At 46.9% G+C, this 26912-nt stretch overlaps 1 protein-coding gene across 5 annotated transcripts in view; it reads right to left on the bottom strand.

Annotated features, from left to right (window-relative positions):
* The window catches only part of EMILIN2 (elastin microfibril interfacer 2), a 69772-nt gene that overhangs the window by 11340 nt on the left and 31520 nt on the right, over positions 1-26912 (bottom strand). For 4 of the 5 annotated variants that reach the window (XM_047437884.1, XM_047437886.1, XM_047437885.1 and 1 more), the window contains exons 3-4: positions 19525-19700; positions 12178-14103 (exon numbers count right to left, since the gene is read on the bottom strand). In XM_047437884.1, coding sequence (XP_047293840.1) covers positions 12178-14103; positions 19525-19700 — 2102 coding nt within the window. Of the gene's footprint in view, positions 1-8473; positions 8783-12177; positions 14104-19524; positions 19701-26912 lie in introns of those variants that run through there. The other variant, XM_047437887.1, reaches the window with a different exon arrangement.

Below are 26912 nucleotides of genomic sequence, written 5' to 3'. Positions count from 1 at the left end.
CAGAGAAGTAGAAGATACTGCATCCAAGATGCAAGAATTGATTGCTATACAAAAGGGATAGTCAGAGAATAAGGGTGAGCCTTTGCTGATTAAAAAGGCACTTGCCAAAACCAGAGATTTCCATGAAAGGGTTGGTAGATAAAAATCAAGGAAATCTTTCAGAAGGTAGAACATGATGACGAAATGATGATCAATAGGAAGGAAATCATAAGAAAATTAAAGGGTCAACCTAGGAAGTCCTTCCAGAAAAAAAGAAATCAGAAAAACTGGTATGTAGGGGTAATGGGATGGTAAGGAGAGAATTATCAAATAAACACACAACTTCCCAGAACTGAAGAAAATGAAAGATGCCAGCACAATTACTGAATAAGAGGAATAAACCAAGCCACATTCAGAACACTGAAGATAAAAAGGAGATATTACAAACTTTCAAGGGAAAAAATATAAAAAGTGACTGCAAATCAGGAAGGCATCACCAGGCTTCTCAACAGTATTGGAAACTAGAAGAGAAGGGAACAATGTCATCAAACAATGCTAGAATGTAATTGTCAACCTTGAAATCTGTACCCAGCAAAAATACCCATCAATTACAAGAGTAGAATAAAGATATTTTTAGACAGGCAATATTTAAAAAATTATAAAATGCCATCTCTCACGCACCCTTTCTTAAAAAGGTATTGGGAAATGTGCACTACTGAAACAAGGGAGTAAACCATGAAAAAGCAACAGAGAGTAAAAGAAAGGGGAGAGAGGCTAAAGACTTTTCTAGGATAGTAGTGAAGGCAGGCTCAGATTGAAAGCCTTATTGCAAAAGTCTAGAAAATAACCAGTCCAGGTTAGATCAGAAAGAGCAAGAATTCCAGGAGGGAGGTCAATTTTTAAAAAAAATGGAACTGACAAATGATCTGATACTTTTTATGATGTAGAAAATTGTATTAAGAGGCTGTTGAAGGGTAGGAAGACTCCAAAATAGATACATAGGATATAAGCAACACTACTACCAATTAAGAGAAAAGTAAAAAGGAAAGCAACACAACCTTAGAGAGCTATTGAGCTCAGCATAGCATAGATGTTGCATATTGACTGTAGGATAACTCTGTTGGGAATTGGGAGGAAGGGGGGGTCAATATACAATGTCTAAAGCTGATAAATCAATTTAGAAATACGGAGGTAAGTACCAAAGAAAAGAAACAGCTGGAAGATTTACATGTGGCTGCCTCTGGGGCGTGGGAAGAAGGATGGGGAAGGGAACAGGGGAGCTGGTTTTCATTATGAGCTTCTTAGTGTTATTTTACTTATTTTTATAAAATATAATTGTAGAAGACACTGACGGCCTGTTTCTGCCCTTTCCCCTCTAATCCAAGCACACTTGAGTTGACTCCTCATCTTTCTTTTCTTTCCTCCTCTCTGGACACCGTCTCCCTGGCTCAGAAGCTGGCCTGCCTCCCAGGGCACACGCCTCTGCCTGAGCCCCAGCCCCACCCTCCCTCCTCTTCTTGGATCAGCTCCATCTGACATCACTCCTCTCTCTTCTCAACCTCTCTTTCCTTCCTCCCCACTAGTTTCTTCCTTTTAGCCCAAGCGTATGTCTCTCTATCTAAAACTCAGGGGAAAACAGAATTTTCCTCTGTCCTTCAACCCTCGATAAGTTAGTCAGCAAAGCATCTTAAAATGGCAAAGCACAGGCCACCCAAACTGGCCCTTATTTTCTCCCCTGTCCTCACCAACCCGTCAAATCACCCTTTTCCTCTGAAATCCGCCCTTGTTCTCCCTCATCCAGGCACAGAGTCCTGTTTCACTCTTCCTTCTCCTTTGGTCTCCCCCTCCTGCTCCTTCACACACAAATTTGTTGCTAAGCCCAGCTGATTCTAATTTGGAAATATTGCTTGGATCCTTCATTCACACCTTTTCCAGAATGCTCTTAGAAAGCATTCTAATCATATTATTTTTTGCTCAAAAATCTTCCATTGTTCTCCACTTCTCGTAAAAATCAAACTGACTCTCTCCGGCCTGACGTTCTGAGTCCCCCGCCTCCTTTGGCTGCCATCAGTATGCTCACTGGTACCCAGCTCTCATGTGACTTCCCTGGCTTCGTGCCTTTACCATGTGCACCCCTGAAATGGCCTCTTCCAGCACCCTCACTGAGACAAACGGCACCCACTCCTGAAGTCGCAGTTCAAAACCACCTCTTCCATGAAGCCTTCTTGGATTGGCCCAGCAGGCTTGAACAGTCCTGCCTCTGCACCAGGAAACAACATGAACCTCTGGGGGCTCTTTCTGTGGTTCAGACCTTTCCTCTCTGGCTGACTGATGAGTACTTGAGCATCTTAATTCTCTGCCATCCCCAGGGCCTAGCACAAGGCCTGGTAACTGACATTGAACAATTTAAGTATTGGGTGAATAAAAGAAGGCTCAACCTATCTATGACAGGCGCTATGGGCCATGCACCCTAATTCCTGCCAGCCATTAAGTTGGGAACCCTAATTTTGCCAAAAATAATTGCCATTCTGGGGTCCTAACAAGGCAGTTCTGATACCTATAGGACAGTGATCATTCTGTCTTTTACTATAATCCATTTTAATATATCCATTACACCCTCAACACCCAGACTTGTTACACTAGTGGAAGGCAGAGGAAAAAGAATGAACTAAGATATTCCTTGAGCCAGATATCCTCAGTGGATCTCCTTGGGGAGTCCGTGCATGAGTGCCGTGGATGGCTGAAGGCTCCAAAGCAGCCCGCCACATCATAGCAGAGACAGTCATGAAAAAGCGACGTCTCACTGGGATGGGTGCCCCCAGCCCTGGCCTCTCCTAGCTCTGGCTTAGTCCACAGCATCACGTGGGGTGCCGAACGCACACATTTATGACCAAGTCCTAACAAAGGCTGGATAGCACTCTGCTCATTCTGGAAAGAGACCTCTCCAGCAGCCGACTGCTTTCTGAACTGAACATGTGTTTCTAATTCAAGAACAGACCATTTGAAATGAATTCTTCATAAGAGCCAAGGTTGCTCCTCATGTGTTTTAACTCCTGAGGAATGATAGGGACAGACCAGCCACACTGCACCAGGCCTGCCTGACACTCCGCACGGGTCGGGTAGGGTCACAGCCTCACCATGGGTGAACCTGACGTGTAGGGATTAAAGGCCATTCCCTCTCCTCGAAAGCTCCTATTAAAAGTCAATTTCAAAACCAAACATCAATTTCAACTTTTATTAAAACAAAGACTTTCCTAAGAAAATCCCCAATAATTCATGGGGCTGATGTGCTAAAAACGAGTGTCTTCCCCCTGAACTAACACCCTCGCTCATTACAGGAGTCAGGGGTTGCCTGCTGTCTCCAGGAAGCCCTGCTTTCTGCAAGAGCCCTGAGCAGCTGGGCTGCAGGAGGAGACCTGGGGAAAGGGTTGGCCCTGTTCTTGGCAACTAAGGGGTGTCTTGTCACAGAGAAGAGGCTGTTGGAGAAAGCCTGGCCTTAGCTGTTAGAGCCTGTGGTTGAGACTCGGCTGTGGGAAAGCCACTGAAACCTTGTCCATGCAACGGGCTCAACCTGCAGTGCCCTCCTGTCATCCAGGCAGAAATTGATGCCAATCAGACCAAGCAATGGATGTGGGTGTGCCCTTTTAATGCCCCGCTATTTGTAAAACACTGTGCAAATGTTAAGTGTAATTCATCAGAAGTCCAGTGAAGGTGAAATCTGATCTCCCTGCCATCCAGAAGGTATACCTGCTGACCAAATGCTGAAACTGGAGAAGTATTTTAAAGATGCTGATCAAGACTTCAGACTTTTTTTTAAAAAAAGCATCAAAGTGCTGACATACAGAATGCTAGGCGGATGGATGGAAGATGCTTTCACAGTTGACTGCTCTGCTGAGTGGCAAAGCTCTAGTTCCTGGGAAATAACCCCATACCATCACGGACTGAAGCATGAGAAATGCTGGACTCATCAGAAAATTCAGAGAAACTGTCGCTTGTGGTGCTAAATGGGCCCGGGGTGAGCTTAGATAAAGGGGCTTTTTCGAAGAAACAGTTGGTCTCCCCTGCGGGACAGGAGGGCAGGCCACCAAGGTGGCTCACAAGTAGGCATGTAAAAGTATCCCTGGGGCTGAGAAGGCAAACATGCATTCCCTGGAATAGTTCTACTCCAAGTCGATGTCCATCTCAACACTGCTTTTGAGCTGGGCACTGTGGCTCATGCCTGCAATCCCAGTACATTAGGAGGCTGCAGTGGGAGGATTGCTTGAGGCCAAGAGTTCAAGACCAGCCTTTCAACATAGCCAGACTCTGTCTCGACAAAAAATTTTAAAAAGTAGCTGGGCATGGTAATGTGTGCTTGTAGTTCTGGCTATTCAGGAGGCTGACGCAGGAGGATAGCATGAGCCCAGGAGTTCAAGGCTGTAGTGAGATATAATCACACCACTGTACTCCAGCCTGGGCAACAGAGCAAGACCCTGTCTCAAAAATAAATGAGTAAATAAATAAATGAATGAATGAATGCTGTTTTTGAATTTGGTTTGAATGAAAAAAAAAACCCTCAAGCTTATAAGAGGGAGCACTGTGTTGGTTGTTAAGGCAGAAGGGACCATATTGACACCAAAATAATAAGAATCCAGACATAAGAATGGTGAAACTCGTGGGATAGGGCTAAATATAGAAAATGCGTCTAAATTTCTGCAAAGTACAAACTCGTGGATGTTGAAATATAAATACAGCTTTAGTCATGTGTGCTAAAATCTGTGGCAATACATTTGAGCTGGAAAGTAATTTGCTATCACAGAACCCCGACAGAGAAGGCACTCACTCAGCTGAGCATCAGCAGCTCTTGGAATTTTTAAATTTTTTTTAGAAATTCACAAGCTGGGCCGCGCGCGGTGGCTCACGCCTGTAATCCCAGCACTTTGGGAGGCTGAGGTGGATGGATCACCTGAGGTCAGGAGTTTGAAACCAGCCTGGCCAACATGGTGAAACCCTGTCTCTACTAAAAATACAAAATTAGTGGGTCGTGGTGGTGGGCGCCTGTAATCCCAGCTATTCGGGTGGCTGAGGCAGGAGAATTGCTTGAACCCAGGAGGCAGAGGTTGCAGTGAGCCGAGATTGTGCCACTGCACTCCAGCCTGGGTGACAGAGCAAGACTCCGCTGAAAAAAAATAAAATAGCAAGAAAGAAATTCACAAGCTGTTTCTAAAATTTATATGGAAGCGCATAGGAGGATCTATACTGCTTGATTTTAAGACTCACTATAAAGCTAAATGAGTAAGCCACCAGGAGAGACCTCAAAAACTGGAACAGAATCGAGTCCGTAAGTGGGCTCACACAAAGCTGACTTCTATTGGTGGCGCAGTGTCAGTCAGTGGTTCATTCTGTGTCCTCCCTCCCCCCCACCTCCTCTTTCTTTTTGGGCACAGCTTACCTGGGGTGGGTAGATCCCTCTGCCTCTGGGGTAGCCTTCAATTTCCAGGACTAGAGCTAGCGGTTTTTTTTAGTTATAAATTTAATTACAAATTCCTGGCCCTCACCTCATCCCTGCTGCTGAGCAGCGATCTCCTGAGTGAGCCGAGGAGTTTTTTGTTTTTGTTTTTTTTAAAGATCCCAGAGGCATTTATGCATGCAGCTCTGGGAAAGCTCCATTCTCCGAACACTGCAGCTCTAAGTTCAAGGCTAAGATGCAGTAGAGCAGCTGCGGTTTACACGAACCAAAGGGCATCGTAGAAACCTGGTGCCTACAGGATAAAGGGGGCGAGTTGTCAGGAGTTCCCTATGGCCTGAATATAAGCAATTTATTGAGCCTTTATATGTTTATAAAACTCTAAGTCCATCATGCTACCTTGGGCCTAAACTCTCCCCAAACTCAGCTGATTTTGAGTTGGGGCAAAGGGGTCAGAATGTTGGCATCAGGCAGTGCCCTGGCCAGGCTTTCTGGTTAAATAGTTATTTGACAAGGCTGTGCTTTTTCATTCTTATAGCTTAACTCAATAAAAATAGTACGCTTAAACCTGCAGCACTCCTAAAAGAAACGCTATGATGAAAATTACTCAGAGACATGAGCAGAAAGGGGTGGGAGAGCAGAAAAAGGAAGTGATGCCATTATCTCTAGTGTGCTGAGATCTAAGAGACATCTGTCTCTACTTGGAAGCGTGACATCTGGAAAGAGAAGTCCCCTGCACACAGCTACGTCCCTCTGCCTTCCCTTCCTGCTCGCCACCAGCACCCCTTCCTTCCTCTACCGGGAGAGGAACAGTGGGAAGGCAGGGTCCAGCTGAGGCTCAACCTGTGTGTGGGGCCAGGGGAAGCTAAAGCCAGCTGGGGAGGGCGGGCTGCCCCATTCTCCACATGCTGCTGCCACTGGGCTGCAGGCCGGGCTAGTCCTGGGTCCCAGGCAGGGAGTCAGCCTCTGCTGGTCACCCAGTGCCTGGGAGGCAGACCCTGTGGCCAGGACACACCCCCACTTGTGGGGATACCTGTGAGTAATTCCCTATGAATCACTCATGGGTCACTCAGACTCGAGTGGGGGTAAGGCTGGGCAACTTGGGAAAAAGGAACAAAAGAGGATGCCTGCTGAGAGAGTGTGAAGGCCTGATGCTCCCCGCACCTGTGAAAATGGGAGCGAGTCCATCTGGGAAGGAGGGCTCAACTCCGTGGCTACACTGCATAGGGAATAAAGGGCCTCGAGCCTCCTTTCCATTTATAACCTAATTTGTTCATAAGTGATGAGATTCTGCTCAAAAAAACTATCGATACACGAGATACATGAAGCTGTGAATGCTGAAAAGGGAGATCTCTAGGCTTTTTTTTTTTTTTTAAAGAGACAGGATTATGCTGTACTGCTCAGGCTGGAGTGCAGTGGTGTGATCATAGCTCACTGCAGCCTCAGACTCCTGGGCTCAAGGGGTCCTCCTGCCTCAGCCTCTCAAGTAGGTGGAATCACAGGTGCACATCACCACACCCAGCTAATGTTTAATTTGTACAGACAGGATCTCACTGTGTTGCCCAGGCTGGTCTTGAACGCCTGTGCTCAAGTGATCCTGCTGCCTTGGCCTCCCAAAGTGTTGGGATTACAGGCATGAGCCACCGCGCCCAGCCATTTCTAAGGCTTTTTATACTGTCTATTTGAACGCTAATTTTAAAAACAAGAAAAAGGGAAAGCAAGAAAAACAAAAAAACCTGTGGCCACCTACAGCATCACCGGAGCCACCAGGGCCCTTCACCCTGTGTCTGCTGTGTTTACAGGCCCTCTCTCTTCCAAGGCTGGAGGCCTGGGGGTTTATAGGTAGAGAAAGGGAGAAAAGTTCAGTCATGAATAGATTAAACATCCATTCTAGGGTATGGAGGGTTTAAGTAATAGGTAATTTTCCTGAGTGATTACTAAGTCCAGGACATTAGTTAATCCTCCACTGTTTACAAGCATGGATGAGCAGGGATTTCAACGGAAGTAATCACTCCCCAGCTCAAAATCCTTCAATAGTTTCTCACGGTACTTAAAATCCAACTCCTTTATCACAGCCTAGAAAGCCTGCCTGATCTCATTCCTACCCTCGCTTTGACCTCATTGCTGATGACCTTCTGCCTTGCTTATACGCTTGGCCATACCACTATTCTGGGTTTTTCAAAAGAACTTCCTCATAGCCTTTGAGAATGCTGTTCCCTCTGCCTGGACCATTTTCTCAAAAGTATATATTTTTTTGTATTTTTTGTAGGGACAGGGACTCCCTGTGTTGCCCAGGCTGGTCTCGAACTCTTGGGCTCAAGCGATACACCCGTCTGAGCCTCGCAAAGTGCTGGGATTACAGGCGTAAGCCACTGTGCCCAGACTTGTGGACCTTTTGTCTCCCGACCCCCATCTCCAAAAAAAAAATTGTCCAGGTGCACTGGCTCATGCCCGTAATTCCCAGCACATGTAATTACAGCACATGCCTGAATCCCAGGCTGAGGCAGGCGAATCACTGGAGTCCAAGAGTTTGAGACCAGCCTGGGCAACATGGTGAAACCCATCTCTAAAAAAATAAATAAATAAATAACAAAAAATTAGCTGGGTGCGATGGCACGTGCCAGTAGTACTAGCTACCTGGGTGGCTGAGGTGGGAGGATCACCTGAACCTAGGAAAGTTGAGGCTGCAGTTAGCTGTGATTGCACCACTGTACTCTAGCCTGGGTGACAGAGCAAGATCCTGTCTCAAATATATATATATCTGACCGGGTGCAATGTCTCATGCTTGTAATCCCAGCACTTTGGGAGGCTGAGATGGGTGGATCACCTGAGGTCAGGAGTTCGAGACCAGCCTGACTAACATGGTGAAACCTTGTCTCTACTAAAAATACAAAAATTAGCTGGATGTGGTGGCAGACACCTGTAATCCCAGCTACTTGGGAGGCTGAGGCAGGAGAATCGCTTGAACCCGGGAGGCGGAGGTTGCAGTGAGCCAAGATCACGCCACTGCACTCCAGCCCCAGCAACAAAGGGAGACTCCATCTCAAAAACAATTATATATATTTATTTATTCATTATATATATGCAATATATACATATGCTATATATATATATGCCCTTAACAGAAGGATATAAAAGAGACTTAGATCTATTTAAGCATCAGCTGAAGGCCCTTCTTCTCCCCTGTTGGCTGCTTCTTGGATAATTCAGCCTCACCTCAGTGATGCTTCCAAAGGAAACAGGATCTGTGAAGAGGGCAACAGGCTGAGTAGAAACACCACAGTGTGTGTTCCCGGTCTGGCGATCTGCTTACTGGTCCAAAACCATCACACATCTTCACCTCTGGATCTGTGCTCACTGTGGTAGATATCATGACCACCATTAATCCCCCTTCCCTCCCCAAACATACCAGCCACGTCACCCTTCAAGAGCAGACCTGCTTTGACAATAGAATGTGGCAGTGATGCCACTCCAGCTCTGGGCTAGCCTGTGGGAGGCCCAGCAGCTTCCACTTTCCCTTGACAGTCGCCATAGTCTGACTACTTGACACCGCCATGCTGTGAGGAAGCCCAGGTTGGCCACATGGAGAGAGGGGCCAGGTGGAGGAGCACCGAGGCACCAGACATATGACTGAGTCTTCACAGACCTTCCAGTCAACCGCAAGCTGAATGCAGCTGAGTGGGCGACTCAAGCTGATGCCACATAGAGCAGAAGAACCGCTGAGCCAAGCCCTGCCGGGGTTCCTGACCTACAGAATAATGGAAACTAATACATCTTTGTTGTTTTAAGCCAGCAAGATTTGGAATGGGTTGTTATAAAGCAATAAATAGCTAATCCACAATGTCCTCCCCTCCTGCTTTCTGAATCCCACCCATCCCTCAATCAGATCCAGTAACACCTCCTCCTGGAAGCTTCTCTCATCTCACCTTATTCCTCACCCCATCAGCCTCTGTACTCTGCTCGGTAAATACCTACACTGAGGGCTCAGCTCAGGGCTCTCTCCTGAGAATCCCTCCCTGACTTCCACTGTGGGTGCTTCTCTGAACACTCAAGGTGGCTCATGCACACCACACCCCATTCCTGTGACCATCTGTCTGCTTGTTTCCCCATCAGACTTTTATCCACATACTCCCCCACACAGCCATTACCTACCACATAATAGGGGCTCAGTAAGAGCTTATGAACTAAAGGGATAAACTGCTATGCCACAAACAATCTCATTCATCTCTCTGCAGACCTGTGAGTCTCTTTCCCACTGTGATTGCAAATGCTTTAGAATAAGGATTATGCCTACTTATCTCCAGGTCCCCCAAGAGCCTTGCACATCGTAGGCACTCAATAAACATTCTGTTGACTTTTAACTGATTGACATGTCACTTTCATTGTGACCTTAGCTCCAGATTCTCCCATGCACCTCTGATACTCAGGTTCCAGGTCTCCTAGACCTGGATGCTAGACAAGGGCAGAGGAGGCTCTGCTTGTTTATTTCTGGCTCTTTTCCAATCAATGAAATTCTCAAAACTCCATGCAGTCTACACTCACCACAATGAGTTCAGTCCAAAGGGATAATGTTTTGTATGGCACATTCTCTTTTAAAAGAATTCACCCCCCAACTCCTACTGCAACAGACAAATGCGAAAATGTTAACACAGCTTCCCACGCCACCAGGGAGTTCCAAATCAACTGGAAATATCTGATTCAACCTGTTATCGTAAGACACAGACCAGACAGCGTTGTCACCACAAGGGACAATCATTCTATGAACACATACATGGTCTTGTGACCTCTACTCAACATTCCAGAGATAGAGGAGCTGAGTGGCCCTGGAGTGGGGGAAGGGCTGGGTTATAAATAGTGAGGTGCAGTGGGCTGGACACTCGGGTGGCGGCCAGATTCCTGGTCCTCCTGGGCCTAGGTGACTCGTCATCTGCAAGATAAGCACAGTGCTCTGGGGACATCCAGGGCATTTTCCCACCTACCTCGGACCCTCTCCACCCTCCTGAGCTGCCAGGACCTGGCCCTGGCTCTCCCTGACCAAGCCAGAGCTCGCCTGCTTCCCACGTTCTAGCCTACGCTGCCTTGGGTTTTATGTCTCATCTGGGACTTGATCATAAAATCCCAAGGTTCACAGAGGCCATGAAATCTCAGTTCCTTGTGCAAGGGCCTGTGTCACCCAGAGCGGAACCAGGTCAGGGAGGTAAAAGTCCCAAAGGCAAGGATGGGAGAAAAGAAAACAGGGAGGGGGAGGTCAGGAATAGGTTCCTTCTAGCACAAAGCAGGCCCCTCAACAAGTCCCCATGGACCAAGTAAGTCTGCACTCAGTTCTGGGAGACACACAGTCATCATGGCTGGACTGCAAGAAAACAATTCTTGGACGCAGCCTGGCCTGGTTTCCATCCTGGCTCCCCCACTGAACAGCCACATGACTTTGGGCACATTTTCCCTGTTGGAAAACAGCCTTTCTGTGAGGCCATGATAGGATTCAGTCCCCCTGAAGTGACCAAGCCAGTGCTGTACATAGAAAGTGTTCAAAAACGCGAGCTCCCTCTTCCTTCCTTTCACGCCCAGACTCCGACTAGAGAGGGCTAGCTTATGTCGGAGGCTGTCTCAGAGTACAAACCCAGGTACAAGAGAAGCTCTGTCCTTTGAGAAGGCTGCGTTTAGCACCCACAAGTAACAAAAAAATCTTATTACATATATTATTCATTCATTCACATTCATTCATTCAACAAACATTTGTTGAGTGCCTAAGGTGTAGCCAGCATTGCTCTCAGCACTACTGCTGAGCTTCCTGGATGCAGGCACTATGGAGCTTTAGATACTTCCTGTCCCTAAACTGCTCTCATCCACGGTCCTGTGTCTGGAAACAAATATGACAGCATCCTATCTGCCATCAGCTAAGCCCTGAAGATGATAACGACACAGATAAAAAGTGATGCTTGAAGAGAGGTACGTAGGAGACTCCCTAGGTAGAAGAGAGGACAACACCCACTGCCCCAAGCTGTTATGCCAAAAATCTGACCCCAACTCTGAGCTCACCAGCCTGATTCTACAGATAATATTTGGCTATCCATCTGTGGGAAGAACCAGTTTTCCTTTTTTATTTTCAATGTGTTGTGAACTGATATTTTTGTAAATTACGTAGATCATGTGCTTAAATACTGCAATGTTGTTTGTTTATTTATTTGAGATGGAGCCTCACTCTGTTGCCCAGGCTGGAGTGCAGTGATGCAATCTCGGCTCACCTTAACCTCTGCCTCCCAGGTTCAAGCAATTCTCCCACCTCAGCCTCCCGACTAGCTGGGACTACAGGCGCGTGCCACCACACCCAGCTAATTTTTGTATTTTTAGTAGGGACGGATTTTCGCCATGTTGGCCAGGTTGATCTCGAATGCCTGACCTCAGGTGATCCACCCTCCTTTGACTCCCAGAGTGCTGGGATTACAGGCATGAGCCACTGCAACCAGTCTGTCAAATTATTTTAGAAGTTCCTAAATATTAACACTGAGAATATATATTTATCTTATTGCTACTCAGCACCAGATAATTCAGGCACCAATCTATGAACCACATTTGGGTAGGACTGATGGCATTTAGTTCATTCCGTGAACTGTCCAAAATCTAGCATAATACTGTCACATTTTTACCTCATGAAGTTTCAACAATATCAAAAATGAACAAAAAATTATTTTTAAAATGTTGTTGCGTGCTGCAAAGAAATACAAGAAATAGAATTGTAATATTCAACTTACTTGCTGATGGCTGAAATTTGACCAGATCTTGCAAATCAGTAGAAATCTGGAAGACGTGGCTGTAGAACTGCTGGACTGAATTCTTCAGGCCAGAAATGTCTCTGGAATGCGACCTGAGCGTTCCGTTCATCTGCCTGACACAGTTCCACAGGCTGCTGACATGCTTGTTGAGCCCCTCCTTGATCCTCTGAAGATTTCCTGAGATAGAGTCCAGCTTGCTGCAAGTTTTCTCCATATGAGACACCCTGCCCTCCACCATGGAGACCTCCCTCTGGACCCCCTGCGTGCATTCCTTACAAGCATCCAGCTCCGAGATGACCTGGCTCTGCAACCTCTGCCACCTCTCCTCCAGCTGACTGCAGCAATGAGCCACGGGGTGCTGGGGGGACGGCAGGGTGTCCACTGTCCTTTCTTGCTCACCCACCTTAGTGAACCTACCCATGCCAGCGTTTTCACCTGCTCTACAATTGCTCATTTCCTTTTGAAGATGAGTCACATCATTTTCTGTGTGGTTTAATTGAGAATAAAGAAAACTAAAATCCTGTTGAAGTTTCTGGATGGTTTGTTCGGTTTCTTGAAACTTCCTGTGCATCGTGTCGTTGAGAGATTTCAAAAGGTGCAGGCTGTCGCGTACTGCGCGGTCTTCCCTGTTTGGCAAGGCACCTTCCATCCCATGAGGCTTTCCCTGGATGTTCAGCAGGCAAATGTCTTCAACAACTTGAACTTTGTCCTTCAGGTGGTTTAATTCCATCATGACCCGTTCATCTCCTGACCCTGACACTCCTGGCAGGGCTGCTGCCCCTGGGGGACTGAGCTCTGCACCAGTGTTATTGGTCATCTGTAGGAGAACGCTCCCCAGACGGTCTTCCAGAGACTGTATTTTCTGATCAACAAGCTGCTTCAAGTCACCCACCTCTCCATTAATGGCGCCCCGAAGGGTTTCCTCAATGTAAAAGCAATGTTCTTCAGCGTTCTTCTCCGTCACATTGATCCTTGCATCGAGTTCATTCCATTTTGCATCAAAATCCACATCTGGCTCTGGAACTATAAGGCGGTCAAACTCATTGTCCAGTCTTCCATTCAGCATTCTGGTGGCTTCAGCAACTCTCTCGATTTTCTGGTCCAATGTCTTGATCTGTTGACCAATGTCACCATTCTTTTCACTGTCGCAGCAATTTGCCTGGGCTGAAGGCTCCTGTAGCCGGGCTCGGAGGTTATTTATTTCTTTTCTCAGGCTTGTTTCCTTCTCCCCTATGAGCTCTATCACTCCCAGGTAGCTGCTCCCATAGTCATCACACTGCTGCTGGAGGCCAGTGAGCTTGTACTCACATGAGTTTTTCAGGTCAGCCAGCTTTCTGTCCATGCCCTCCATGAGCTCCTCTCTCAGGGCGTCGATCTTACTGTCCACATAGGCTTGGTAGAGTTCGTTGGTTGTCATGGTCACCGTCGGGCCCTGAGCTGCTTCCTGGAGCTGTCTGAGCTGCCCTTCGTAGCCCTTCACTTTTCCATCCAGCTCTTCCAGCTTGTCACTTTTGTTCTTTAGAGTATCTTTGACTTCAGCCAATTCAGACTTGATGTCCTTCATGCCAGATTCCTTAGTGTTGAAGACACCAGGACTCTGGCCCGTTTCTGTGTCTCCACTAACAGTGGTGTCAGGCTTGGGGTGCTGGCTGCTGAGCCCTGGTGCCCGTGTTCTACTGGCATCATCCTGAGTGGCATGTTTGAGATTTTCACTCACTCCAGCAAGGGAAGACTGGAGGTCAAGAACCGTCCTTGTGAGTCGAAGAACCTTCTCCTCTAGCACCTGTATCTTCTTTTCCTGAAGTTCCTGAGGCCCCTCTTTTGGATCTACCCCCCAGCTTGGTTGTGCTGTACCAGTTGGGGACAAAGTCTTCCTGGGCTCTGAGAATTGGCTGGGTTCATTATCTGTTACAAAGATAAAGTTGGACATGAATGAACATTTTCTACCTTTAGCCAGATTCTGCCAAGACAATAAACAAGGTACCTACAAAATACATGTACATCTTCACTTACAGGTCACTACACAATTGTAGGTAAGTACTGTGGTACAGTAGAAAAGAGTATGGGCTTTGTAGTCAAATAGACCTCTACTTGCATTCTGGCTCTGCTATTTACTGTTTGTCCTTGAGCAAGTTAACTAACTTCTGTGAACTATAATCCTCTCATCTATAAAGAAGAACAGCTTCTAGAGCTGTTAAAATAATATGTACATGACACCTATTAGATAATCAATGGTCTCTTTCACCCTGAGGGGAAATATTCATTATCCGCTTTATCATATGAACACTTCATTCCCATATTAGTGAACTGCAGCCACACCCCAAGAGTTGACTGCATACAGTAAAACCACAAGAAACCACTTTAGCAAGATCCACCCATTAGCTGTTGGATGGTGATATCATATGATATCATATTTTCTGATGTTATCCTCAAAGCAGTGCCTGAATGTTTTGTCCTTTACTTTCATTAACATCTCTGTGCTCAAAGAGTCTCACAGACATTGTTTAGCCCTGCTTGCAGTTTGGGAGACAAAAAGCAACAGAGATAAAGCAACTATTCATCAGTGTCTCCTAGCAACAGCACCGTCTGACCATATATAGTAAGATTCACTACGTCAAAGAATGCAAATATTGAAAGCTGGTCAGGGAGGTGGTGTGTGCCTGTAGTCTCAGTTACTAGGGAGGCAGGAAGATGGCGTGAGCCCAGGAGTTCAAGGGCATCCTTGGCAATATAGCAAGACCCTGTATCTTTAAAAAAAAAAAAAAAAAAAAAAGAAAAGAAAAAAAGAAGAAGAATGCAAACATTGAATTTTGGGTAATCTTATTTTGAGAAAACACCAAGGAAAAAATCCAAAAGAAAGAAACAATTATTAATTTTTAATAAGGGGGGAATGATAGTGATGAGTCATAAAATGAAGATAAATTGATAGACATAGAGGTAAATAAAAAGGAGACTATTGAAACCTGCAGCAATAGGACAATAAGAAACAAACTATGCCCTGAATACAGCAGGATACAAGAAATACTGCATCCAGCCATGATGGCTCATGCCTGTAGTCCCAGCACTTTGGAAGGCTGAGGTGGGTGGATTGCTTGAGGATAGGAGTTCAAGACCAGCCTGGCCAACATGGCGTAACCCCATCTCTACTAAAAATACAAAAATCAGCCAGGTGTGGTGGCTGGTGCCTGTAATCCCAGCTACTAGGGAGGCTGAGACAGAAAAATCGCTTGAACCCAGGAGGCGGAGGTTGCAGTGAGCCGACATAGTGCCGCTGTACTCCAGTCTGGGCAACAGAGAGAGACCCTGTCTCAAAAAAAAAAAAAAAAAAAAAAGAAAAGAAAGAAATGAAAAGGAAAGAAAAAGAAAAAGAAAGAAAGAAATACTGAAAGAGGTTAACACTGACAAACCTGGCAACTATAGTGAGACATATAAAGTGGAAAAAATCAAACACAACATAGGTTGCAATTAAATAAAATGCATTAATATATTACACTGGAAAACATTGGAAATTAATTCAGAATGTTGTAGATATTTGAATTCAACGATCATTGTTTTTTCCTCCTCTGAACTTTTGCACAAGCTCATAATAGCAGCTATTATTTATTAAAATCAAGTTAGTGGTAAAACCAAATCTGAAATTCAGATATCCAAATCCCCAAGAATCATTCTTTTTGCAGAGAGCTACAAATAACACCTTGTTTTCCTTACTGAAATATTTATTCTCTCTCTCTCTCTTTTTTTTTTTTTTTTTGAGACAGAATCTCCCTCTGTTGCCCAGGCTGGAGTGCAGTGGTGCTATCTCGGCTCACTGCAAGCTCTGCCTCTTGGGTTCACGCCATTCTCCTGCCTCAGCCTCCCGAGTAGCTGGGACTACAGGTGCCCACCACCATGCCCGGCTAATTTTTTGTATTTTTGGTAGAGATGGGGTTTCACTGTGTTAGCCAGGATGGTCTCCATCTCCTGACCTTGTGATCCACCCGCCTCGGCCTCCCAAAGTGCTGGGATTACAGACGTGAGCCACCGCGCCCGGCCGTTATTCTCTCTTAAGACACTAAAGAAAAAAACAAGTTACTGAATCATGTGCAAGTGGAATGCTATTCTAAGCAAAGGAAATAAAAACAAAGGGCGGCAAAGGGGGGAAGATTGAGGATGTAAGGAAATGCTTTGCTCATATACCACGGTGACTGTGCAAATTGCATTTTTTTCAAAGGATAATTTGGCAACATGTATCAAAATACTCAGAATCTTTTGACCCTACAATTACACTTCAAGAAATTTATTCTAGTGAATAATCAGAAATGAGTGCAAAAATTTAACAGGAAAAGATGCATATTCATATATTATCTATAATAGTGAAAAATTACAAACAACCTAAGTGACCAACAGTAGAGGATGGTGTTCAATAACTCACATTCTCTCAAGCCATTAAGTAGTATTGTAGAATATTTCATGACATGGAAGGTTGTCCATTATAGGTTATTCAATAAAAAATAAGTTCCAGGTCGAGTGCAGTGGTTCTGCCTGTAACCCCAGCACTTTGGGATGCTGAGGTGGGAGGATCACTTGAGTCCAGGAGTCCAAGGTTGTGAGCAGTAATCATGCCACTACACTCCAGCCTGGGTTACAGAGCAAGACCCTGTCTCTAAAATAGAAAAAGTTGTAAAAATAGTATTTTTTTTATAATGACAGTGAATTCAGGGTATGTTTGTCCATTCTGTATTGAAATAAAGGAATATCTGAGACTGGGTAATTTGTGAAGAAAAGAGGTTTATTTGGCTCACAGTTTTGTAGGCTGTACAAGAAACATGGTGTCAGCAACTGCTTCTGGTCAGGACCTCAGGAAGCTTCTACTCATGACGGAAGGTGAAAAGAGGGCCAGTGTGTCACATGGTAAGAGAGGGAGCGAGAGGGAGCAAGAGGGAAGGGAGAAGGTGCCAGGCTCTTCCAACCAACCAGCTCTCGTGTACTAACAGAGCAAGAACTCATTTATTACCGCAAGGAGGGTACCAAGCCATTCATGAAGGATCAACCTCCATGACCCAAACACCTCCCATGATACCCCATCTCCCACATTGAAGATCACATTGCAACATGAGATTTGGAGGGGACAAACATTCAAACTATATCAGAGGAAAAGCATTTCTTTTTACTCCTTCCTAAAATCCCACTAAAAGGACAAAATAAAAGGAGGAGGGAGACAAAAAAACCTACTCAAGTCACACACAAAAAACTGGGAGTCAGAAAAGTTTTGGTGTTTTTTTAGCAGCAATATTGGAAGCTAGAGAAAAACTGAGCACTATTGTCAAAATTCTGAAGGAAAGTGATTTCTGACCTAGATTTCTGAAGCTAGAATAAAAAATAGTGTTCATACTATAAAGTGGTAAAAAGTTTGCTTCCCATGTAATTGTCTCATGAAGCTACTAAAGGACATGCTCAAGCAAAGCAAGGGGCTAAGCCAAGAAAGAGGGAGCAGGGGACACAGGAAACAGGGAATTCAACAGGAGAGGGGCAAGTTAAGATCCTCGGGTGAAGACAGGAAAAGAGGATGTCCCGTCCAGGTAGGGCAAGTGAGAAGGCTCAAGGGAGACTTCTTCAAGAAGATGAAAATGCTGTGTCTGAACATATGGAGGGGACATTTAGAGAGCCAGAGAAGAGTTGGGTTGAAATAGCAATAAAAAGAGAGAAAACTAAGCAAAGGAAAAACATAAGACAATGATTTAACTGTAAGGAATCAAAAAGCTGCGTAGGAAAGAAAATCTATTCATAGTACACCACATGGCTCAGCTGTAAACATTATCTACATAGTTACTACAATGTAAACACTGAATACTGAGTAAATAAAGAATATGGTCTAACTGTATGGAAGGGATGGGGGGATAGGAGCCATGTGTTGAGGAGTGGATGAAAGGGAGTTAAATTCTCACCTTCCATAATGAAAAACCAATAGATATGGAGGTAAATTCCAAAAGATTCATCTGAAGAGTTTAAAGTACTACCCATGGGAAGGGAAAATGAGAAAAAGGGTTTCAGGGTGGTCATTGTTTTTCCTATTAGTCCTTATAAAGCTATTCAACTTATTAAACTACAATATGCTTAAACTTCTGTCAAACAAAAACTAAAATGAAACAAAACAAAAATAAATGATTACAATCCACCAGCCCCCATGTCATGTTCCCTCCATCCCAGTATCTGTCATGAATTATTGTAATTACTCTCTAATGTCTGCCTTCCATGAAGTCAGGGACTCTGTCTGCCTTTTTTCTCACTTATTCCAAGTACCCAGTATAGAGCCTGACAGATATAGAAGTTCAATAAATATTTGTGAGATAAATGAATTTTTCTTTAACAAAATCAATGTACAGACATAGGAAAGAGAGTAAGGTTCTATAACAAAATGTCAACAGTAGTTCTCATTTAGTCATGAGATTATGTATCCTTAAATATTTTTCAAACATTCTTTAATTGATGTGCATTACTTTTGTAGTTAAAAAGTCATTTTAAAATCTATTTTTACAGACAATGTTGGGAAGAACTACGAGTTTCAAACCTGAGAACACCTCATGGCAAAATATAATCATTTAAGCATCTAATTTCATAAGAAAACCTAGGCTGCATTTATTGTGACTGAACTTAAAAAGATGAAGTGATGGCCAGGCACAGTGGCTCACGCCTGTAATCCCAGCACTTTGGGAGGCCGAGGTGGGCAGATCACTTGAGGTCAGGAGTTGGAGACCAGCCTGGCCAACATGGTGAAACCCCATCTCTACCAAAAGTACAAAAATCAGCCGGGCATGGTGGCAGGCGCCTGTAATCCCAGCTACTCGGAGGCCAAGGCAGGAGAATTGCTTGAACCAGGTAGGCAGAGGTTGCAGTGAACCGAGATTGCGCCACTGCACTCCAGCCTGGGCGACAGAGCGAGACTCCATCTCAAAAAAATAAAAAATAAAAAACAATTTTAACCCCCCTAAATTCAGATGTATGGGCCCAAGTAAAAACAAACAGTACATCATTACATCTGAATCTCTTCACAGCTGTGCCTCCAGGTGACACAAGTCTGAACCCACTGGCATTTCCTACCCTGATGTTTAAGGCATTGGCTTTCACAACAAGCTGGCCCTAGCAAAGCAATTTACTTGCAAGGAAGTTTGTCTTACAATTGCTACTGCTCCTGAGAATAAATTTGTCACATGTGGCTACTGCAGGTATCTATGTGTGTTATTCGAAGGCCATTCAAAGCTCACCATTGTAAAGCACAAATCCTGTTGTTTGAAGGAGCACCGGAAATATTAAAGGTGGCCATACATAATAGCACAAATAAGAAGTTACCTGTGGCTTTCTTCAAGCTGTTTCGAGGCCGAGCCGGCGTGGGGCGGAGGGTCTTCACGGGGTCTTTGGGACCTTCTTGGCAATCTCCCCCTCTAAAGCCAGGACAGCACCTCCATTCCAACTGTGTCACTGTCTTATACCTAGTGACATATCTAGGTCTGAAGTTCACTCGATACCTGTGGACAGAAGGGATGGCATCTCTCTTTACTGGCTGCCGTTACAAGCAACTTCCGGCGCTAGACCCAAATAAAGAGGACTCAGGGCATGCAGGACCCTGCCTGCTCTCCAGGCTGGCCCAGAGGGGATGTTGGTCTCCTCAGTCCAGATCTGACTGGGGGGTTCAGCCTAACTCAGATCAGCCTCAGGAAGGCAGGGGCTCCCCAATCCTCCACCTGCCCTGAGCACCCGTTTCCCAGCAAGGGGAACACACAGCTTAGAAAATCTCCACCAAGACTCCCATTTGAGAAGGATACTTTTCAGCCCCCAAACTGAGCTTTTGTTTCACCAAACTTCTGTTCTACAATTCAGTTTGTGGGGATTTGTTTCAGGTGTCACTAGAGATTGTTTTGTTTTGTGTTTTAAAGAAATATTCCTGGCCGGGCACAGTGGCTCATGCCTGTAATCCCAGCACTTTGGGAGGCTGAGGCCAGCAGATCACTTGAGGCCAGGAGTTCGAGACTAGCCTGGCTAACATGGTGAAATCTAGTCTCTACAAAAAATACGAAACTTAGCCAGGTGTTGTGGCGCATGCCTGTAGTCCCAGCTACCGCTGAGGCACGAGAATTGTTTGAATCCAGAAGGCGGAGGTTGCAGTGAGCTGAGATCACGCCATTGCACTCCAGCCTGGGAGACACAGCGAGACTGTCTCAAAAAAAAGAAAAAGAGGCTGGGCGCGGTGGCTCACGCCTGTAATCTGAGCACTTTGGGAGGCCGAGGCAGGCGGATCACGAGGTCAGGAGATCGAGACCATCCTGGCTAACACGGTGAAACCCCGTCTCTACTAAAAATACAAAAACATTAGCCGGGCGTGATGGCGTGCGCCTGTAGTCCCAGCTCCTTGGGAGGCTGAGGCAGGAGAATGGCGTGAACCCGGGAGGTGGAGCTTGCAGTGAGCCGAGATCGCGCCACTGCACTCCAGCCTGGGTGACAGAGCAAGACTCCAACTCAAAAAAAATAAAAAGAAAGAAAGAAACATCCCTGGCACCCTGCTCTCCATCATGTCTGTGTGTTTACCGCTGCACCTCCCTTTCCTGATGCTAGCAAAGGTAGCCACCAGCTTTTGCAGATGGCAGCTCACACTATTTGTGTCCACTTTTTACAAAGATGCCCTGGTTCATACTGTCAATGACAGAAATCAGGAAGCAGAATTGGAAGCACTCAAAAAGTCCTGTTGACAGTGCACATCCCCTCATGCCCTGGAATATCACACAGAGAGCTTTGCAGTGAGCTGGAAAGTCCTCCAGACTCAAGGCCGGGCCTGGGCCCACAACAGACTTTGACAGCCCTGCAGTCCCGGGCTCACCAGGGAAGGAGCCAGGAGTTCAGCCCCCGCAGCGGCCCCTGCTCACAGCACAGGCAAAAGCCACAGCCACACAGGATGGGGCCTCCCTACTTCAGCCCAATTGTGATTTCCTGCCTTGCAAATCATCTCTCTTGAAGCTCTTCAGCTCCTCTTCATTTCTTACACCAGCACCAGCAGCTGGCCTTCTTCTTGAGCCAATTCCCAGAAAGCAATAGGCTGAGTGTCACTTTTTCAGGGTTGCTGAGAGCTGCCCATGGGGGGAGGCGGGACAATAGCAGCAGCGGGGTTACCCAGCAAAGCAACTCCCTCCCAAGCACCAGCCCTGTGGCAGGTGGACTTCAAAGTTACCTCCCTGAGGAAAGCACAAATCATGTGCTGGACCTTTGACATCCTCCCCGAGGGTCACACACTGACAATTACACTCTGGGTATAGGATCCACCCCGCTGGGACTGGCTAGGCACCCTGCAGAATCCCAAGAGGGCCCTGCCGACAGCTAGGACCCGCCAAGCCCATTAGACCTCCTAGCACCTTCCACTGTCCCTGTTTCCTTTGGTTTTTGTTGTGTTTTTTGTTTTGTAGAGATAAGTATCACTTGGTCGCCCAGGCTGGAGTGCAGTGGTACAATCATGGTACACTGCAACCTCAAACTCCTGGGCTCAAGTGATCCTCCACCTCGGCCTCCCAAAATGCTGAGATTACAGGCACCATGCCTGGGTCATATTTTTTTTTTTTTGAGATGATGTTTCACTCTCGTTGCCCAGGCTGGAGTACAATGGCGCGATCTCGGCTCACTGCAACCTCTGCCTCCCGGGTTCAAGCGATTCGCCTGCCTCAGCCTCCCAAGTAGCTGGGATTACAGGCACCCACCACCATGCCTGGTTATTTTTTGTATTTTTAGTAGAGACATAGTTTCACCATGTTGGCTGGGCTGGTCTTGAACTCCTGACCTCAGGTGATCTACCCACCCTTTAGCCCCCAAAGTGCTGGGATTACAGGTGTGAGCCACTGTGCCCAGCCAATTTAAAAAAATTTTTTTAAGAGATAGGGTCTCACTATGTTGCCCAGGCTGGTCTCGAGCCCATGGCCTCAAGTGATCCCCCAACCTCAAAGTGCTGGGATTACAGGCATGAGCCACCACACCCGGCCTGTTTGCCTTGATCTTTAGGGCAGTGGTTCTTAGCCTGAGCCATCAGAATCACCCAGGAAACTGTGAAAAAATACCCACGCCTGGGTCTCACCCTCAGAGGTTTTGATTTAAGGGGTCTGGGGTGGCAGCCAGGCATGCAGATGTTAGAAAGCTCCAGAGAGCCTTTTCCAAGGAAAACTGAAGAGGAAGCCTGGTAGTAAAATGGAAAAACAAGGGCTGCTCGGGCAGTTGGGAGGATGAGGAGAGGAAAGACCTTCCAGGCTCTTCCTTCTCTCATTGCTGTCCACCTCCACCAAGGCCCTACTATACATTTTCCCCTTTTCACAAGTGAGAAAACAGAGGCTCATGGGGTTAAGCGACTTATCCAAGTTCAAACAGCCCGGAAGGGGCAGGGCCGTTAAACCCAAGCCTCCTCCCTGCACCCCACACAGCCGTTCTCTCAGGCGATGCCTTACATTGGAGGAAGCGGCCCCACCTGGAGATGTTCCAGAAGGCCCTAAGGGCTGGGTAAGAAGGTAGGCAACCCCCACTTCGGCCAACCCATTCCTGAGCATCCCACCCGTGGCCAGGTACACACCAGCCCTCGGTCCCCACCACCACCTAGCAGGAGTCCTCTGTGTGGTCCTTGAAAATGTAAAAAGGGAAGAAAGCATCATTGCGCTGGATTGTTTTGCGTTCTCAAGTAGAGCATAATGCTGGAAGAATGTGTAATCTCAGAAAAACGTGGTTCCTCTGAGCATTCAGACTGAATGTGAAATGTGTTTGCTCTCGGGTTTTGTTCATCGGCCAGGAGATGACGGCCCAGGCCTGCATGAAGCTGTCTCAGAGGAGGCTGAGCCAGGCCAGGCAGAGCACACTCCTGTGCCCATTGAAGAGGAACGGCCCCCACTCCAGCCCAGCAGCGGGCTGTGACCTCTGTCATGCCCCAGAGCGGAAGAAAGGCCTTGCTGTGCCAACACACTTTGTTCTTTTCTTTCAAGGCAATTTTATTTTGGGGCCAGCTCCCCAGCTCCTAATGTAGGAAAGTTCCCTGGAGCCTGGAGCCCCCACCCCTCCCACTCTACACATGTTCCCCACTCCTGCTCCGCGTCTAATCTGCCTGCTGTTGAGTTTCTGGCCAAGGGAGTTCAGGTTGAGGCGCTCCTGACAAGTTTTCAAGTCTAGCATGGGGAAGAGGACTTCCTGGCTGGCATCAACAGTTGGAATCCATCAGCAGCCACCTCCTGCGGTGAGAAAGCTCCCTAGGGATGTCGCATGACGATGACAAAGCTGGATCTCAGAGGTGGCCTTGGGCCCTGCTAGTCAGCCCTCGGGCTCAGTTGGGAGCTCAGGGGGAGGTGGAGATGAAAGGGTTGTCCAATCCCAAATCCCTACTGGGATTTTCCCAGCAGAAAGGGGTTCCCACTAAGACAGTAGCCAGCTAGAAGCTTTCCTAGAGGATGGGGAGCAACAAAGGAGGATTCTGGGTCACCCTCTTCATCACCCAAGGCACTGCAGGAAAATAGCTAGTGAGCTTTAGAAAATGCCAAGGAATTTTCAGCAAAATTATACCTTAATTGGTGGAGGGTGCTCGTACCTTTCTAAAAGTCCCCAAGTCGTTGTCAAGTGCAGCCAAAGTGGAAAAGCCCCAGACCCAGGACCCACTTCCTCCCTTCAGGGAATCGGCCACCCTCCTAAGAGGACCAGGCAGGGGACATGAAACAGAGACAGGCGGCCCAAGCATCCCCAGGGGCCCCGGGCTGTGAGCACACGGGAGATGCTCACTCGATACAGAATCAGTCAACTAACTGCAGTGTGGGGGTGGCCAAGCCGAGGGACCCGCAGCCAGAGGAAAAGTTAAGGCGGCGGGGCTGCGCAGCGCTGGAGGGGCGGACTCGGCTGCAGCCCTGGCTCCCTTCCCAGCCTCGGCTGTGACTGTGATGGTGCCCCAGCCCTCTGGAGAGCCCCGTCCACAGGTGCCTTGGGTATGGGCGGGGGCGGCCCTTGGGGCTGTAACCCTGGGCCTGTCGCCCTGCCGCCTCGCCCCTGTGAACTCTCCCCCATTCCAGCCAAGTCTCCTTTGCCCGCCTCTTCCTCTAAAACCCTTTTCGGAGGTGAAAACAAGGGTTTCCCATTTTAATGGGTTCAGCAACCGTGTCAAGACACTAGACTGGCCCAGGAGATTCTAATGAGAAGGAAGGTGTCAAAAAAAAAAGTCCTGGAAAAGTTGTGTCAGCGTCCAGGGACCATATGACTGGAAGTGTCCCTGTTAAAACAAAATGACAGTACCTCCACTTGATGTCACCCCCACAAAGACTCCTTCTACTGACTCAAGTTGAGACCTCCTTCATAACACGCCTCAGTTCACACTTGTGTTTGCTTACTCCGTGTTTGTCCTCCCTGCCAGACTGTAAGCCCCATGAGGATAGAATTCCTGTTGGTTTTGTTCACTATAACATCCCATTTTTAAAAATTAATATACTAGGCTGGGCACAGTGGCTCATGCCTGCAATCCTAGCACTCTGGGAGGCCAAGGACTGAGGATTGCTGAGCTCAGGAGTTCGAGAACAGCCTGGGCAACATAGCAAAACCTCATCTCTACTAAAAATCTTTAAAAGTTAGCCACGCATGGTGATGCACACCTCTTATCCCAGCTACTTGGGAGGCTGACGCAGGAGGATCATATGAGCCCTTGAATTTGAGACTGCAGTGAGCCATGATCACACCCATTGCACTCCAGCCTGGGCGACAGAGACCATACCTCAAAAAATAAATCAATCAAATTAATATACTTAACTTTCTTTTTTTGGGGGGGGTGTTGGGGGCAGGGAGGACGGAGTCTCTCTCTGTCGCTCAGGCTGGAGTGCAGTGGTGCGATCTTGGCTCACTGCAACCTCTGCCTCCTGGGCTCAAGCGATTCTCCTGCCTCAGCCTCCCTAGTAGCTGGGATTACAGGCATGTGCCACCACGCCTGGCTAATTTTTTTGTATTTTTCTTAGAGACCGGGTTTCTCCATGTTGGTCAGGCTGGTCTCGAACTCCCAACCTCAGGTGATCCGCCCGCCTTGGCCTCCCAAAGGGCTGGGATTACAAGCATGAGCTACTGCGCCTGGCATGGCTGTTAACATTTAAACCAATTAAGATTGAACATTTTGTTCCTCAGTCAAACTAGTGTATTTCACAGACTTAACAGCACAAATGCCAGTGGCCGCACTTGCAGTGTTGGGCAGCGTGAACATCTCCATCATCGCAGAATATTCTACCTGACAGGGCTGCGCTGGGGATTCATGAGACTGTTGAGTAATCAGCAGCAGGCGCGCATCTGTTCACGTCTTGATCCCTAACCCCCATCAACCCATCTTCTCTCTCCCCCGACATCCATTCCAGACCTACGAATGGAATCTTCCCTGAAAATACCCACATGTCCCAGAGGGAATCATCCCAGGGGACCATCTCGCCAGCTGCTCCACAAGGCAAGGCTCCTTGCCTTGTGTTTACAGCACTGACCTGGGTTTTATTTTGACACAGGCTACTAAAACTGCACAGAACCAAAACCCGTTGCCCCCTTGGGGACACTCGCTTAATGGGATTTCTCTGGAGAGCCGACTTTTAGTAAATCCCTCTCCTTCCAGTCATTGGTTGCCCCCAGAGGCCTGGAGCCAGCTCTTCTTGCTCCATTCATGTGTGTGGGAACACAGTATTGACTGGAACGGAGCCGGGAGGATGGAGGAAGAAACCAGAAAGGAGGTGTTTCCCCAGGGATGGTAGGAAGTACCCTAGCCAGGCAGGGGGGAAGAACTGCCTGCCCCAAAGAAGGAAAATGAGCATTGCCAGAAGACTCCAATTCTCACACAGGGCAGACTGGGTTGGGTTACCCGGAATCCGCTACTGCACTAAGTTTCCACAGAGCAGTTCATTCCAGCCACAGTAATTCATTCTTTTCAAGTTTTGGTAAAATACACATAACATGAAATTTAGCCTCTTTTTTTTTTTTCCTTCCTTGAGACAGAGTCTCACTCTGTTGCCCAGGCTGGAGTGCAGTGGCGTGATCTCGGCTCACTGCAACCTCCACCTCCAGGGTTCAAGTGATTCTCCTGCCTCAATCTCGCAAATAGCTAAGATTACAGGCACCTGCCACCACACCTGGCTAAATTTTGTATTTTTAGTAGAGACAGGGTCTTGCCATGTTGGCCAAGCTGGTCTCGAACTCCTGACCTCAGGTGGTCTGCCGGCCTCCGCCTCCCAAAATGCTGGGATTACAGGTGTGAGCCACCACACCCGGCCACCTGAAATTTAGCATCTTAACCACTTTTAAGCATACAATTGTGCGGTGTTAAGCACACTTAACGTTGTTATGTAATCATCACCACTAACCACCTCCAGAACTGTTTCACCTTCCCAAACTGAAAGTCTGTTCCCATTAAACACCATCTCCCCATTCCCCTCTGCCCCCAGTCCCTGGAAACCACCACTGTACATTCTCCATGAATTTGATGACTCTTATACCTCATTTGAGTGCAATCATAGAGTATTTGTCTCTTTGCGACTGGCTTATTTCACTTAGCGTAATGTCCTTAAGGCTCATCCAGGTCACAGTGTGTCAGAATTTCCTTCCTTTTTACACAGCAATTCACTTTTACAAAGTTGACTTCAGTGTTCTAATTTAGAAATTCGCAAGACAGTGGACTGGTTTTCTTTCTTTTTTTTTTTTTTTGAGATGGAATGTCAGTCTGTCACCCA

This window comes from Homo sapiens, chromosome 18 (assembly GCF_000001405.40).
Source record: "Homo sapiens chromosome 18, GRCh38.p14 Primary Assembly".
NCBI classification, from domain to species: Eukaryota; Metazoa; Chordata; class Mammalia; order Primates; family Hominidae; genus Homo; species Homo sapiens.
This window is presented reverse-complemented; position numbering and strand designations above follow the sequence as displayed.